We start from the raw sequence: 17,270 nt of genomic DNA on the forward strand, positions 1-17,270 counted from the left end.
GATTTTTGAGCAAATTTGATGAAAGGTTAGTGAGAAAAGGATTTGAAACTCCTGGCTATAAGAAGAAGTTTGATCATCAATGGAGTTGATTTATTTGGGAATACTGACTTTCCTGGATTAGACTACTAGGTTGCGGAGGGAAAGGCTAACAGGATTCTAAAGACAAACCCAGTTTTGGGTAAAACTTGTTTTTTGCCCATACCTAAAAGAATTTTGGACCCTAGGGTTCTTTTCTGAAGTTTTAGCAAGCTGTAAGGAAAAAGTTTTCTTTTAAGAAGATGGGTCTGGCTGGGTGTAGTGGCGCATGCCTGCAGTCCTAGGTATGTGGGAGGTGGAGGGAAGAAGATTGCTTGAGCCTGGGAGTTCAAGGCTGCAGTGAACTATGATTGTGCCACTGCACTCTAGCCTGGGCAACAGAGTGTGACCCTGTCTCTAAAGGAAGAAGAAGAAAAGAAGAGGGAAGAAGAAGAAGGAAGAAGAAGAAGAAGAGGACGAGGAGGAGGAGAAGGGAAAAGGAGGAGGAGGAGGAGGAAGAAGAAGAACAACAGCAGTCTAATGAGGAACCCTAGACCACACATCATGGGATAGCTTGCTTCTCATTTGGGAGAGCAGGACAGCCAGAGTTCCCACTCTCTTTATTGAAAGTTGGAGGTAGGTAGTATGACTTTCAGGTCATGGATGTGTGTCTCCACTTTGCCACACAGCTGGCGTTATCACATAGCTAGTGTTGGATCACTAGCTATGTGATAACAACAAAAGCAATACAAATAATAAAAACAATACTGGTGACTTCTTATGCTATTGTTATATGGTAGACATTTTACTTATATTTTTATACTTTGTTCTTGCAAAAAGACTTAGGAGATAGGGAGATTATTATGTCTAGTTTCTATATAGGAAACCTGAGTCAGAGAGATTAGTGTGCCAAGATTACCTGGTGAGTAATGGGCAGAAGGCTAACTATGGAGCCTTTGTTTTTAACTACTATATTATACTTCTATTGGGGCTCAGAAAGTGATACTTCAAAGTATGGCACTTTGGCATGCTGAGCACTTTAAATTAAAGGATTAAAAATAAAAATATCCTGGAGGGTTGCATCATTCCTGGAGGTACTGCAATACCAAGTCAGTGTGTGGAGTGGATGGAGCAAGCTCCTACTCTATCTCCCTGCTCCAAAAATCCATTTAATATATTGCCCTTGGATAGAGGACATATCAAATATTAAACTGATAAGAACAGATACTACACTTGATCTTAGCCAAAATATCTAGAAGCAATAAATTAAAGGATGTCAGAAGGCCTCAGAAGCAATCTCAGAACCAAGGTCTCTTAGATTTTCTGCCTTGCTGTCTCTTACCCTTCATTCTGTCTTGAAGCAAGTCATAGAAACCAGAATTCCTCTTCCCCAAGGTGGGTCATAGAAACTAGAACTTCTCTTTTCCAAAGCCAGCCATAAAAACTAGAATAATTACTGTAACCTTTCTTTACTGTTCTGGCTAGGAGCTGGACATAAAGAAATTCTCTGTCTTATCCTTGTGCAATATTAGGTCAGAAGACTGTCATTCCAGAGGGGTCCTGCCTCATCCATACCTAGGAGGAAGAAATGCTACAACAGAGAGGGCAAGAAGAAACTGCATAGGCCTTGCTGGGCTTCCCCACGCAGCCTATTAGCATTGGGTCATACTCTTTTAGTCCAATCATATTTCTACACAGCTGTCCATTTTTCATCCAATCAAAGCACAAAAATGGACAGCTCGCCAGGCACGGTGGCTCAGGCCTGTAATTCGAGCACTTTGGGAGGCCAAGGTGGGTGGATCACCTGAGGTCAAGAGTTTGAGACCAGCCTGGCCAACATGGTGAAACCCCATCTCTACTAAAAATACAAAAATTAGCCAGATGTGGTGGCAGGCACCTGTAATCTCAGCTACTCAGGAGGCTGAGGCAGGAAAATTCTTGAACCTGGGAGATGGAGGTTGCAGTGAGCTGAGATTGCGCCACTGCACTCCAGCCTGGGCAACAAGAGTGAAACTCTGTCTCAAAACAAAAACAAAAACAAAACAAAAACAAACCAGACAACTTTCCCTATATCTTTGGATGTTCATTCTGAAGGCTCCTGTGTCACATAAAACTTTGATTAAATAAATTTGTTATGCTTTTCTCCTGTTAACCTGTCTTTGTTATAGGAGTGTCAGCCGTGACCCTTATGATGGGGGAGGAAAAATATCACATCTTTCTGTCCCTACGCTTTTCTCCCAGCACTCAATTGCCTAGTCTTTCTTTTTACAAAACGAAGACTCATGATTGTTCTGACACCCTGCTTCTGTTTGAGAGGATCAAATGAGGTTGTGAAGGGGAAAATGTCTTGAAGACTATAAGGTAGCAGAAAAATATAAGCAATTATTAAGATGGACATGCTGGAAGAAAGAGAGCCAGAGAGAAGGCTTCCTGGAGTGAGAATTAGACTTTGACCTTCAACAAAAGGGCTGCCCTGCATGTGCTGACAGCCCAAGCTGGGAACCTGGGTCCTTCTTCCACAGCTGTCAGAATGGCAGGGGCAGGGGACAGGCGCCAGGCCTGGGCATCCAGGCGTGAGTGGCAAGGCACTCTTCACTAGAGTCTCTGGGCAGATTCACTCAGAGCTTGACCTTTTGAATGTAAAACACTTGTCAGGTTGCCAAGTGCCAGCCAGTCAGGGAATGGATTCAGCCAGGAGAATAATCTTTCTGTGGCTTTCTCAGGGATGCTTGCCCTCTGACTGTGGCCTACAGGGTCTCTTTTGGAGAGAAATGGCTTCTACCAAACTCAGGGTATACCTGGAAACTGGAAACTCTCCACTGTCTGGTCTCTCTCTCTCTCTCTCTCTCTCTCTCTATGTATGTATGTGTGTGTGTGTGTGTGTATATATATATATATATATTTTTTTTTGAGACGGAGTCTCGCTCTGTCGCCCAGGCTGGTGTGCAGTGGCATGATCTCAGTTCACTGCAAGCTCTGCCTCTCGGGTTCACACCATTCTTATGCCTCGGCCTCCTGAGTAGCTGGGACTACAGGCACCCGCCACAACGCCCGGCTAATTTTTTGTATTTTTAGTAGAGACGGGGTTTTACCATGTTAGCCAGGATGGTCTTGATCTTCTGACCTCGTGATCCACCTGCCTCAGCCTCCCAAAGTGCTGGGATTACGGGCGTGAGCCCTGTGCCTGGCGTATTTTTTTTTTTTTTTTTTTTTTTTTTTAAGAGACAGGGTCTTGCTCCGTCACCCAGGCTGCAGGACAGTGGCATAACCCTAGCTCACTGCAGCCTTGAGCTCATGGGCTCAAGCAATCCACCTGCCTCGGCCTCCCAAAGCATTGGAGTGACAGGCACATACCACTGCACCCAGCCTCTCAATTTTTAAAAACCTTGTCTCTATTTTATAAATGTGATGCTTTCTATAATTTGTATTAAAAGACATAGTTATATATGTTTTTCATTGACTATAAAATTTTGTGGTTTATCTGAATAAATATTGTCAAATGATATTCCTTACCTTTCCCTCCCCGACCCCAATTCTAGAAAAATCTCTCTGGGTAGGACCAGGGGACAAGGAATGCTTGTTCTCTTGGGAGTCATTAATATCAATACTGTGGTTATAGAAGTGTCTTAGTTGTTGCATTTGGACAAAAGAGTTCTGTGAAAAATAAAATAGGGGACTGTTCTATAAACTTGTTATTATTATTATTATTATTTTATTTTTAGTAGAGCAAGGTCTCACTATGTTGCCCAGACTGGTCTTGAACTCCTGAGCTCAAGCAGTTTGCCTGCCTCCATCTCCCAAAATGTTGGGATTACAGGTGTGAGCCACTGCCTCTGGCCTATAAACTTGTTATTGATGGAAAGTTTTCCTTTAGGAGCCAAGCCACAGAGGCTAACATAAGTTAGTGATTTTCAATTGTACAGCCACTGATTATTACCTAGACTATGAATTCACATCATGGTTGCTTAAAGGTTTACAATTCAATTGTAAAGTGGCTATAAATGCCTCCCATCTTGGATTACATTCCCTTTTGCCTCCTGACTTTGCTCCTTCTTCTATCAAGTGCTTTGGGAGGCTGAAGTGGGAGGATCAAGTGATGAAGGTGGCCCACACCTGTAATACCAGCACTCTGGGAGGCTGAGGCAGGCGGATCACTCGAGGCCAGAAGTTCCAGACCAGCCTGGCCAACGTGGTTAAACCCCATTCATCTCTACTAAAAATAAAGAAATTAGCTGGATGTGGTGATGCATGCCTGTAGTCCCAGCTACTTAGGAGGCTGAGGTATGAGAATCATTTAGAACCTGGGAGGCAGAGGTTGCAGTGAGCTGAGATCGCGCCACTGCACTCCAGCCTGGGAAACACAGCAACACTCTGTTTCAAGAGAGAGAGAGAAAAAAAAGATGAAGTTTAGTTTATTTATCTACTTCTTGAATCTTGAATCTGGGCTTGGACATATGACCTGCTTTGGTCAAAGGAACATTAATGGGAGTGAAGCCACCCTAAACTCTCCGGTCCCAGCCAAGCTTCCAACCGACAGCACAGATTTGCCAAGCTGATCCAGACCAGAAGAACTGCCCAGCAGACCCATAGTATCAAGAGACTTTGGCCAGGCGTGGTGGCTCATGCCTGTAATCTCAGTACTTTGGGAGGCTGAGGCAGGAGGATCACTGCAGGTCAGGAGTTTGAGACCAGCCTGGCCAACATGGTGAAACCCCATCTCTACTAAAAATACAAAAATTAGCTGGGTATGGTGGTGCATGCTTGTAATCCCAGCTACTCGGGAGGCTGAGGCAGGAGAATCTCTTGAGCCTGGGAGGCAGAGGTTGCAGTGAGCTGAGATCCTGCCATTGCACTCCAGCCTGGATGACAAGAGCAAAACTCCATCAAAAAAAAAAGAGAGAGAGAGAGAGAGACATAATAGACATAATGTGTTTGCTGCTTTAAGCCACTAGGTTTTGCAGTATTTTATTATATAACAAAGCAAACTGATTTAAATTCTAATTTTAAAAAATTTTCAACTCAAATTCTTAGTCTACTAGAAGGGTTGGGAAGCTAAGGCCATTGTGCTGGCTCTCTGTTTTTGTAAATAAAATTTCACTGAAACGTGGTTAATCTCTTATGTATTTTCTTTCACTACTTTTGAACAATGATTGAGTAGTTGCAAGAGAGGTTGTATGGACCTCAAAGACAAAAATATCTGCTATCTGTCCCTTTAAGAAAAAGTGTGGTTATCCCTACAGAGAATTGTTGGTGCATTTGTAATTGTATAGGAGTTCTTTTTTTTTTTTTTTTTTTTTTTTTGAGACAGAGTCTGAGTTCAAGTGATTCTCCCACTCTGGCCTCTCAAATTGCTAGGATTACAGGTGTGAGCCACTGCGCCCAGCCAAAACCTTGCTTATATTTTTTATTTAAAAGTTTTGTTTTTGTAATCTCAGCACTTTGGGAGGCCTAGGCGGGCAGATCACGAGGTCAGGAGATTGAGACCATCCTGGCTAACATGGTGAAACCCCGTCTCTACTAAAAATACAAAAAATTAGCCGGGCGTGGTGGCGGGCGCCTGTAGTCCCAGCTACTCGGGAGGCTGAGGCAGGAGAATGGCATGAACCTGGGAGGCAGAGCATGCAGTAAGCTGAGATTGCACCACTGCACTCCAGTCTGGGTGACAGAGCGAGACTCCGTCTCAAAAAAAAAAAAAAAAAAAGTTTTGTTTTGACATTTATGTCCTTATTACATCTGAAGTTGATTTTTGGATATAGTGTGAGGCAGGAATCTAATTTCTCCTTTTCCAAATGGATTACATTTTTAAAAGGTGCTTCATTTCTTGAAGTTATTCCTTTCCCCAGTGATGTGACATGCCACCTCTGTTGTGCATCAACATTATGAAATGTGTGGGTTTGTTTTGAAGCTTCCATTCCATTTCATTCCCTTCCATTCCACTCCCTTCATCCCATTTGTCAATTTATCTGACCTTGCACCAATATGATTATATTTCTACAGGTTTTTAATAATTATAAAGTATTACTATAGGTAATTACTATAGGCTTACAATACTGAGTTACTAATTACTATAGGTTTATAATACTTAATAAAGTCATAATTACTATAGGTTTAGTATACTTCCTCATAGTTTGTGTGGCAAGTCCTCTGCCCTGCTCTTCTTTGGAGGATCCTAGTTATTCTTTGTCCTTTCCTCTTCCATATACATTTTGGAATCATCTTATCAACTTCCATGTAACACCCTGCTGAAGTATTGTATTGAATCTGTAGATAAATTTGGAGAGAATGCATATCTACAATTTTGTCTTTCTACCCATGGACGTGGTATATTTCTCCTTCTAGTTAGATTTTAATATCCTAATAAAGTTTTATACTTTCCTCTGTAGTTCTGACATATCTTTAGTTTTTTTTTCTATGTAGAAAAAAAGTATTTTCTTAACTATTGTAAATGGATTTTTAAAAAATTATATTTTATAATTGTTTGTTTCTGGTATATGGAAATACAACATAAAAATATTGATTCTATTGATAAGTTTATCTTATATTTCCCTACCTAGCCCTGGAGTCCACCATTCTCCAAAGAGCCTTGATAGAATGGAGGCTTCTCAAAAAATGAAAAGTAGAACTTCCATATGATCCAGCAATTCCACCTCTGGATATACATCCAAAAAGAAAGGAAATCAGTATATCAAGGACATATTTGCACTCCTATGTTTATTGCAGCACTATTGACAATAGCCAAACTGTGGAATCAACCAAAGTGGCCATCAGTGAATAAATGGATAAAGAGAATGTGGTATATATACACAATGGAATATTATTCAGCCATAAAAAGAATTAAATCCTGTTATTTGCAACAACGTGGATGAAACTGAAGAGCATTATGTTGAGTGAAATAAGCCAAGCACAGAGAGATTGCATGTTCTGATTCATACGCAGGAACTAAAAAAGTGGATCCCATGAAGATAGAAAGTAGATTGGTGGTTACTAGAGGCTGAGAAGGGGAGGTGGGGTGGGGATGGATGAAAGGGAAAAAATAATATAAATGAATTTATTACCACTGAACTGCACACTTAAAGATGGTAAAAATGGTAAATTATTATTATTATCTTTTTTTTTTTTTGAGACAGAGTCTCGCTCTGTTTCTCAGGCTGGAGTGCAGTGGCGCCATCTTGGCTCACTGCAAGCTCTGCCTCCCAGGTTCATGCCATTCTCCTGCCTCAGCCTACCGAGTAGCTGGGACTACAGGCGCCCGCCACCACGCCTGGCTAATTTTTTGTATTTTTAGTAGAGATGGGGTTTCACCGTGTTAGCCGGGATGGTCTCGATCTCCTGACCTCGTGATCCGCCCGCCTCGGCCTGCCAAAGTGCTGGGATTACAGGCATCAGCCACCGCACCCAGCCAAAATGGTAAATTATATATGTATATTTTATCAATAAAAAAATTAAAAATGTGAAAAAAATCCTATAACCAGGCTTCTTTCTAAACTTTAATTCTCATAATTTGTCTATTCTATTGAGTTTTCTTTTTAAACAATCATTTAATATACAATTGAGTATGGATTTATTTTTTCTTCCGATTCCTAAAACTCCAATTTCTTTCTTACATCTATATTGGCTCAGACCTTCACAATGTGAATAGTAGTGGTATTAGTGCGATCTTGTCCCATTCCTGATTTTAAAAGGAATAATTTTAGCATTTCCCCATTTAGAATAATGTTTGCTCTAGATTAATTATAGATACTTCTGTTCTTCTTGGTATGTTCTCATCATTCTTTGAGCCCTTCCTTTCTTTCTGAAACAAAAAATGTTTCAAGTTTATCTTATATTTCCCTACCTAGCCCTGGAATCCACCATTTCTCCAAAGAGCCTTGATTTTCTTAAGTGGAGAATGGTATGTAGGAACCAAGATCTGGGCACTAGGAGTACTCACTGATACTGGTATGTCATGCTCCTAGGCCATCTTAGTGGTTTGAATGGACACATACACACATATATATTTCTCTTTATATTAAAAACCATGAGTCCACACCAATATCTCCAATTCCAATCCAACATCAGATTTATTTTTGTCCTCCTCTTTTCCATATTTGTAACTTCCTCCAGTGAGAAACCTGGTTCCCATTATCTTAGATGTGTTCAATTATTTGCCCAGTTCTCCCTGTATGTAATCAAAGTCTTATAGCGTAGGTCAGAAGCACATGAGGGAGAGAGGAAGGAGAAGGAACAGGGAAGGGAAACAGGAAGGAGGGAAGAGAAGTGTGTGTTTTTTTTTTAAATCTTTATTTTACAGAACCATCTTCCCTCCCCTACAAATATGGAAGAAAAAAGATGCAGGGCATGGGACGGGAGAAGTGCCCCAGAAACAGGCCAATTTAATCTCTGCAGCCTGGGGTGGAGTTGAGTGGCTGGTGGCCAGTTGGCTCTTCCTCTTGTCTCCTACATGGCTCCTGACAGCTTTTTAAACCTTAATCTCCTTCGTTGTTAAAGAAAACCAGAGCTGGACAGTAGTTCAAGTGGTAAAAACAGATTTTGTTCAGTATTATTGCAATAGGGAAAAAGAGCCTTCAGGATAGAATTGGGTTGAATTCCAAATACAGCAGGGGCAAGTGGGAATTTATAGCCAAGGAACAGGGTAGGCGGGTCAGTGGATGGAAAATTACTAAGAGAAAACATCAGTGATAAGGGAGATTCTGACTCTACTGACCTAACCAGGCTTCTTGCTGCAGACAGACCAGGGTGATCAGACATCAGGGGGATGGTGGAGGATGAGAAAACAGGTTAGATACCAGGGGTGATTAGACATGCAGGATGGGGGAATTCTATCTAAACCAACTCAGCAGGATTCTGGCTAAAACTGGGCAATGTAGAGATGGACACGGTAGTCCAAAAGTCAGGCCTAGGTGAGAAAGAGTCCAGGGGAGCCTGAGTAAAGTTTCATCGAGAGGATCTTTGTCATGAGTTTGGAGGCAATACTTTTGAAGGCCAGGGAGGTGCCAGGCATGCATTTCCATTGAACTCTGAGAGACTGCTGTGGGAGTTTTCACACCTCCACCTTCCGCTGCACAAAGCCCTCCTGGCCTGGCACACCATGCATGCACAGCAGCACCATTTCTTGCTCAGCTCGCCCTGGCAGCTGTTTGTGTTGAGCACCTTGCCAAATTCCCATGTTATCTCATTGGGCTCCATGGAGCCTGAGATCTTCATACTACATATAAAGTGTAGCAAGTATAGGTCGGCCTCTTTAGGTTTGAATATCTCCACTCGGTTTTTTAAGGTTCCTTTTGGCAAACCTGAAACAAAGATGCCTCTGTATAAACTTGAAGGAGAACTTGCTGTTTGTGGAGAGGGCTCCAGGCTGCATGGGGGACTGGCAGGCACATTGGCTATGCCCCTGGCTTCTGCCCTATCTCCGGAACCTCTTGAGGATCTGCCTTGCTCCTCTGAATACTCTTAGTGCAGCAATTTTTAAGGACTGAATTGTGTCCCCCATGTCCCCAACATTAATATGTCAAACCCTAATCCCCAATGTGACTGTATTTGGAGATAAGGCCTTTAAAGAGGTGATTTAAAGTTAAGGCCTTTAAAGTTTAACTTAAAGTTAAGGCCTTTAAAGTTTTTTTTTTTTTTTTTTTTGAGACAGAGTCTCGCTCTATTGCCCAGGCTGGAGTGCAGTGGCACGATCTCGGCTCACTCCGCCTCCCAGGTTCAAGTGATCCTCCTGCCTCAGCCCCCCTAATAGTTGGAATTACAGGCATGTGCCAACAAGCCCAGCTAATTTTTGTATTTTTAGTAGAGATGGGGTTTCGCCATGTTGGCCAGGCTAGTCTTGAACTCCTGGCCTCAGGTGATCCACCTGCCTTGGCCTCCCAGAGTGCTGGGATTACAGGCATGAGCCACCGTGCCCAGCCAGGCCTTTAAAGTTTAAATGAGGGCATAAGGATGGGGTCCCAATCAAACAGGACTGGCTTCCTTATAAAAAGAGGAAGAGACACCAGGGATGCATGGGCACAGAGAAAAGACCATGTGAGGACACAGTGAGAAGACTCTGCAAGACAAGGAGGGTGGCCTCAGAAGAACCTAACCCTGTTGGCACCTTGATCTTGGACTTCCAGCCTCCAGAACTATGAGAAAATAATTGTTGTTTAAGCTTTCAGTTTGTGGTATTATGGCAGCCCTTGCACACTAATACAACAATTAAAGGTGGGAATGGTAGGCTCCCTGAAACTCATGCTTGGGGCTGGCAGAGATCCTGTGCTGTACCTTGTAGGATGGGAAAGTGTTGGCCAGATCAGCCAAAGGCTGGGGATGCAAAGGGATGGTGCAGACCTCCAGCTTGGACCTCTTGTAGCCCAAGAGCAGATCGAAAGGCATCACCTCATTGTACCTCTGGCCTGTTGCAAGTCTTTTTTTTTTTTTCTCTTGAGCATCCGAAGTCCTTTATTTGAACATAATTGCTGTTTGCCAAATAGAAGACACAGAAAGCAGACAGTGAAAACAGAGCCCAGTGACCAGAGCCAGCCCCTTGGCTGGGGACCCTCCCCTACTACCTGGTGGACCAGCTGGCAACCTCTGCCCCTCCCCGGACCCTGGGCCTTTGGCATAATGCTGATGAGGGGCTGCAGGCAGTGAAGCCCCTTGATTCAAAGCAGAGATTTGAATGGGTGCTGGAGAATGGGACAGTGGAGAGGCCAGGGAGGGCTGGGCAGGCCTCCCAGCCCGGCCAAGCAGCACAAGTGGAGGAAGCCAGGAGCGGGCAAGATGGCATCTATCTGTTTTCTGAAAAGGGGCACGTAGGGGCCTGCAAGCAGGTGGCGATGGCAGCTGGGGCGGGTCACACGCCGACATCCTTCTCATTGCCCGTCTTGGGAACAGCTTCCAGCAGCGGGTCCCCGGGACCCGCCTCCTCTCCCACCTTGGCCTGGCTGGCCTTAGAGTTGGGGACCCAGAGGCCAGAGTCAAAGCAGCGCTGCATGTGGTACTTCGCGTTGGTGGGGTCCGTCTTGCTGATGGCATCTTGCAGCATCTGCACGTCTTTCACATGGAAGCACTTCTGGAGTTCCTCGGGGAGGGACTCGTAGACCTCGATGGGGTCCAGGCCGCCAGGGCCAAGCTGCTTCTGGCGCTCCTCCTCCTCGTACTCCTTCATGGCCTTCTTGATGGGCAGCTTGGCACGGCCCTGCACATGCTCTTTGAGGGTTTCCAGCTCGTCGTTGAAGCCCTCCACGTACTGGCGATCGGCTGTCCTAATCTCAGTGAAGAACTGCCGGAAGCAGGCCCGGGGGTCCACCTTCAGGCTCTTGGCCAGCTCCAGGATAAACTGCATGACGATTGTCTGGGGGACCACCTGCTCCATGAGTGCACATTTCTCCACCACCTCTAGATCAATGCACCAGATGACCAAGTAATTGGCTGTCTCCTCGCACACCAGGTGGACGTTGTCCGACAGGTACTCTTGGCTGTCATCCCAGTGGCGAGCATGCCAAAGTGCTTGGTCTGTTTCTCGCACTTTTCCACGAAGGTCTTGTGTTTCTGCTCCCTCACCTCCTCTGAGTCCTCCTCCGTCTTCTCCGGCTTGGTGTTGACCATGCTCTTGCTGAAGCCATCTTTGCTAAGCGTGTCCACGTTCCAGGGCATGCTCTTCTCCTTCTTGTGCATCTCCTCCAGCTTCTGCTCCCAGCTCCGATCCTCGCGCAGCTGCTGCGCCTCGGCCTGCAGCTGCTCCAGCTCTGCCTTGCCGCCCTCAGCCACCTTCAGCTCCTTCAGTTTCCTCTGGCACTTGGCCACCTTGTGCTTGCGCTTGTGGCAGCCCCTGTCCAGTTCCTCTTCTCCTTCTGGGACTGCTCCATGCGCTCCCCCTGGGCCTGGTGCTGCCAGTGGAAGAGGCTGGCCGTGTCGATGTTGGCATGCGTCTCGTCTTCATCATCAGACACCTCTATGTGGTTCCACATGCTGTAGTCCACCATCTTGCCTTGGCGGCCCAGCCCGCTCTGGCTTGGGTGGCAGCGGCAGCAGCGCTGGAGACTCCCAAGGCAAGTCTTAAATCTCTTCATGTGTGGAACCTACTGACACCATCAACTCTGTCTGTTGCCAGGTGAGGGGGAAGGTCCTTGTAGTCATAAAATGGCTCCACACAGGGTTTAGTTCATCTTTATGAGGGATATGGAATACATTTATCCATGGAGCATTCATTATTTGCTCCAAAGTGTCTCTCTTGCTGGAATTGAGAATGAGAAATTTCTTAAGCAGGTTTTCACCTTCCATGAACAAGTAGAAGTGAATGTGATACATTCTACTCTGTACTTCATCCTACAGCTCCTTGAAATTCTGTCCATCAAAGGCAGGGATCCATTGACCAGTGTATAGAAGCTGACTCCTGAGATCCATGGTGGGTCCATCATACTTTTGACCATGAAGAGTTCCAGGGCAGCAAAAGGGATAACCGGAAGATAACCACCTTGTTGACGAAAGCGAATTTGTTGCCGATGCCAAAGTCTGCAATCTTGATGTTCATGTCAGCATCCAAGGGCAGGTTTTCTGCCATATATATATGTATATGTGTGTGTGTGTGTGTGTGTGTATATGTATATGTATGTATATATGTATGTATGTATATATGTATATATGTATGTATGTATGTATATATATGTATATGTGTATATATGTATATATATGTGTGTATATATGTATATGTGTATATATGTATATATGTATATATATGTATTTTTTTTTTTGAGACAGAGTTTCACTCTTGTTGCCCAGGCTGGGGTGCAATGGCACAATCTCTGCTCACTGCAACCTCCATCTCCCGGGTTCAAGCGATTCTTCTGCCTCAGCCTCCTGAGTAGCTGGGATTACAGGCATGCGCCACCATGCCCGGCTAATTTTATATTTTTAGTAGAGATGGGGTTTCTCCATGTTGGTCAGGCTGGTCTTGAACTCCCGACCTCAGGTGATCCACCCACCTTGGCCTCCCAAAGTGCTGGGATTACAGGCATGAGCCACCGCTCCCGGGCTATATACTGTTTGGAGACGGAGTCTTGCTTTTGTCACCCAGGCTGGAGTGCAGTGGCATGATCTTGGCTCACTGCAACCTCCGCCTCCTGGGTTCAAGCAATTCTGCTGCCTCAGCCTCCCGAGCAGTGGGTATTACAGGCGACTGCCACCACGCCTGACTAATTTTTGTGTTTTTAGTAGAGACAGGGTTTCACCATGTTGGCCAGGCTGGTCTTGAACTCCTTACGAGAACTGCCCGTCTTGGCCTCCCAAAGTGCTGGGATCACAGGTGTGAGCCACTGTGCCCAACCATCTGCTTTTGAATCTCTATGGACAACAAACTTCTGGTGACAGTAATGTACAGCAGACACTATCTGGCGGAATTTGACTTGGTCATTTTGTTACCAAGCAAAAGGGGCTCACTGCCCAATGCGCTACAAGCCAATGCAATGACTCCAGGTTTTGAGGAAAAGCAAAGCTTTTTATTACAGGTTGACCAATAAGGAGATAGGAGTCCAGCTCAAATCTGTCTGCTTGTGCTGGCTTTAAGGCAATATTATTAGAAAAGGTTTGGGGGTGAATTCTGAGATTAGCAGGTGGTTGGTGGAAGGAAAGGGGAGGTCTGGGAAGTCCTCCAGCATACGCAGCTATCTCTTCATGCTTCCTCGTGGGTCGCATGTGCAAATTTGGGAGGAGTTAGTATGAAACATCTGGTGGAGATCCAGACTGCGATGTAAGCAACCTTGTTTTACACAGATTCCATTTGGCCATATTGGTTCCAACCAATTTCAGTCAATTTTTAAATCTCATAAGCAGAAGGAATTTCAGCAATTCAGCAAGTTATTTCTTATCTGCCATCCTGTAAACTCAAGAATTTCTGTTAGTCACTGGTTTCTTGAACTCTTTGGGGCACAGTTTCACTCTTTTTCTTTCATACTTCCATGAGGCAGGAGGACTCTTCTCCAGCGGTGTAGTCCGTGACAAGGAATCTTGTTCTCAGTCTCAACCCCTTCAAATAATTTCACCATGATGGGATGATTCTAAGCCTTCATGCTTTTTACTTCGCAGGATTGTCTCTGGAAGCTAGAGGAATTCTGTTGAGTCTGGTCAATGATCCCCCATGGCTACATATTTCCCAGTAAGGATGTGCCAGGCCAACTTTGACAGGCAAAGGTACCCTTGATGATGGTGTTGAGGAGCTGGTGTTTGCTAACATGGGTGTTCTCAGCCGAGATGGACAAGAGGCCCTGCCATACATTGGACTTACTGCTGGGCTTGAAGGCAGAGTGCCCCATGGTCAGCTGAAAACTGAGAAAAGCTAGAGAGAAGCTTGGTCTAGATCATGTCAAAAGAAAAATCACTCCCAAAGACCACCTGACCAACTGATCTTTATAATGGGATCAAAACACAGTGCTAAACTAAAAATAAACAAAAATCAAATACTAACAAAAATTTTTTTAAATGAGGAAAGGAAGGGCTGGGTGCCATGGCTCACGCTTGTAATCCCAGCACTTTGGGAGGTCAATGTGGGCAGATCACGAGGTCAGGAGATTGAGACCATCTTGGTAACACAGTGAAACCCCATCTCTACTAAAAATACAAAAATTAGCTGGGCGTGCTGGCAGGCGCCTGTAGTCCCAGCTACTCGGGAGGCTGAGGCAGGAGAATGGCGTGAACCTGGGAGGTGGAAGTTGCGGTGAGCTGAGATTGTGCCACTGCACTCCAGCCTGGGCAACAGAGTGAGACTCTGTCTCAAAAAAAACCCAAAAAAATAATAATGAGAGAAAGGAAATGAATAAAAAAGAACAAGAGAAAGATAAAAAAAAAAAACAGTCTGGGTGCGGTGGCTGACACCTGTAATCCCAGCACTTTGGGAGGCCGGGGTGGGAAGATTACTTGAGCTCAGGAGTTTGAGACCAGCCTGGGCAACATAGTGAGACCCCATCTCTATTTATAAAAAAAAAAAAAAAAAAGAAAGAAAAAAAGAAAGAAAAAAGTGAGAAAAAGAAAAAAGGATAAGGAAAAAGAAAACAATGAGAAAAATAAAAGTAAAGAAGACCAAGAAAAAGGGAAAAATGAGAAAACTAAAAAAAGAGAAAGAATACAAATGGGAAAATGAGAAAAAGAATAAAAAAAGAGAGAGAGCGAAAGTTAATAACAAATGAAAAAGACAGAAAGCCTACAATGCCAAAAAGAAAACAAGTAAATTTTGGGCAAAATCCCTTAGGTCATTGAAAACCAGCCTCCTGAGCTAGAAAGCCCGGAAACCTAAGCCCAACCAGGGACTTATATACGTGCCTGGAATTCTAGAACAGTGGCTTCCTAGGACGTCATAGCAAGAAAGGGACCTATCATGGCTGATGATAATCCACAGTGGTTTCCTCATTTTTTGGTCTCAAGAAAGCCTTACTGTTAAAAAAATTTTGAGAACCCTAAATAGCAACAGCTTTTCCTTTATGTAGGTTATAGATATTGCTATTTGCCTTATTAGAAATTAAAACCGATACGATGCTTCAGTGGCTTTTTCATTTCTAGCTCGAAAAGCTTTTGGCTTATTATGTTTTTAAATGTCCAAATATGTGGCGATTTTTAATTTATCTTTTTATTAGTTTTTAAATTTTATTCATATTTTAGTTTGTATCTATAATAAAAGGACCCTGTGTAAACAAAAATAACTAAAATATCATTCTAAAAACAATAATTCCTCAATATTAACATCTTTTCAGTGTTAAAAATTTTAATTGTCCCACATATTTTGAATTAAAAAAATTTTGTTTTATTAAAAATTTTGTTTTTGTTTATTTATTTATTTATTTTTGAGATAGGGTCTCATTCTGTCACCCAGGCTGGAGTGCAGTGGTGTGATCTCGGCTCACTGCAACCTCCGCCTCTCGGGTTCAAGCAATCCTTCCACCTCAGTCTCCTGAGTAGCTGGGACTACAGGTGTGTATTTTTTAGTAGAGATGGGGTTTCACCATGTTGGCCAGGCTGGTCTCGAACTCCTGGCCTCAGGTGATCCACCTGCCTCGGCCTCCCAAAGTGCTGGGATTACAGGTGTGAGCCACTGCGCCTGGTCATTTTGAAATTTTTTGTTTTTCAGATTGTCTATTCGAACAGGAACCAAATAAGGTCCATATATTGTGATTGATTATGTCCTTTAAAAGGCTTTAAAAATCTATCAGTTTTCACTCTAATCTCCTTTATAATCTATCTTTGAGAAATCCAGATTGTCAGCATCCTCCTCTTTGCAGTTTGCTGATTGTATTCGTGGTATAGATTAACCAGTTTCTCTGTATTTTCTGTACATTGATGGTTGAATCTTGAGGTTTGATCAGATTTAGATGTGAATTTATTTTGGTAAGACTTCTTCACAGGTGGTGTTCTGCTCTTTTATTAGGAGCCACATGATGTCTGATGAGCTCTCTTCTTGTGATGTTAGCAGACTTTCATTCTAATTTCCTAGATCTATTAAATCATGATCGGTAACATGATGGTTAATTTTAGGTGCCACCTTGACTGGGCTAAGGGATGCCCCAATAGCTGGTACATATTATTTCTGCATGTATCTGTGTGAGCATTTCTGGAAGAGATTAGCATTTGAACTAGTAGATTGAGTGTTTTAGTCTGTTTGTGCTGCTACAACAAAATACCTGAGACTGGGTAATTTTTTATTTTTATTTTTGTATTTATTTATTTATTTATTTGTTTTTGAGAGAGAGTTTTGCTCTTGTTGCTCAAGCTGGAGTGCAATGGTGCGATCTGAGCTCACCACAACCTACGCCTCACCTCCCTGGTTCAAGTGATTCTCCTGCCTCAGCCTCCCAAGTAGCTGGGATTACAGTTGCGTGCCACCATGCTGGACTAATTTTTGTATTTTTAGTAGAGATGGGGTTTCACCATGTTGGCCAGGCTGGTCTTGAACTCCTGACCTCAAGGGATTGCCTGCCTTGGCCTCCCAAAGTGCTGGGATTACAGGTGTGAGCCACCGCACCTGGCCTATTTTTTTTTTTTTTTTAATAGAGATGGCGGCAGGGGGGGGTCTCATTACATTGCCCAGGCTGGTCTCGAACTCCAGGGCTCAAGCAATCCTCCCACCTTGGCCTCCCAAAGTGCTGGGATGTAATCCCAGGCAGAGGCTGTCGCACCTGGCCAAAATACCTGAGACTGGGTAATTTATAAAGAACAGACATTTATTTCTCATAGTTCTGGAGGATGGAAAGTTGAAGACCAAGGCTCTGGCAGTTGAGGATGTTTGGTGAGGC

General features: G+C 43.8%; 3 pseudogenes; all 3 read right to left on the minus strand.

Annotated features, from left to right (window-relative positions):
- RNU2-48P (RNA, U2 small nuclear 48, pseudogene) lies at positions 1,091–1,278 on the minus strand (annotated as a pseudogene).
- MARK2P11 (MARK2 pseudogene 11) lies at positions 8,966–14,306 on the minus strand (annotated as a pseudogene).
- On the minus strand, positions 10,437–12,038 carry LOC345471 (cell division cycle 37, HSP90 cochaperone pseudogene; annotated as a pseudogene).

The sequence above is a fragment of the Homo sapiens genome, chromosome 5, assembly GCF_000001405.40.
Source record: "Homo sapiens chromosome 5, GRCh38.p14 Primary Assembly".
In the NCBI taxonomy this organism is placed as follows: Eukaryota; Metazoa; Chordata; class Mammalia; order Primates; family Hominidae; genus Homo; species Homo sapiens.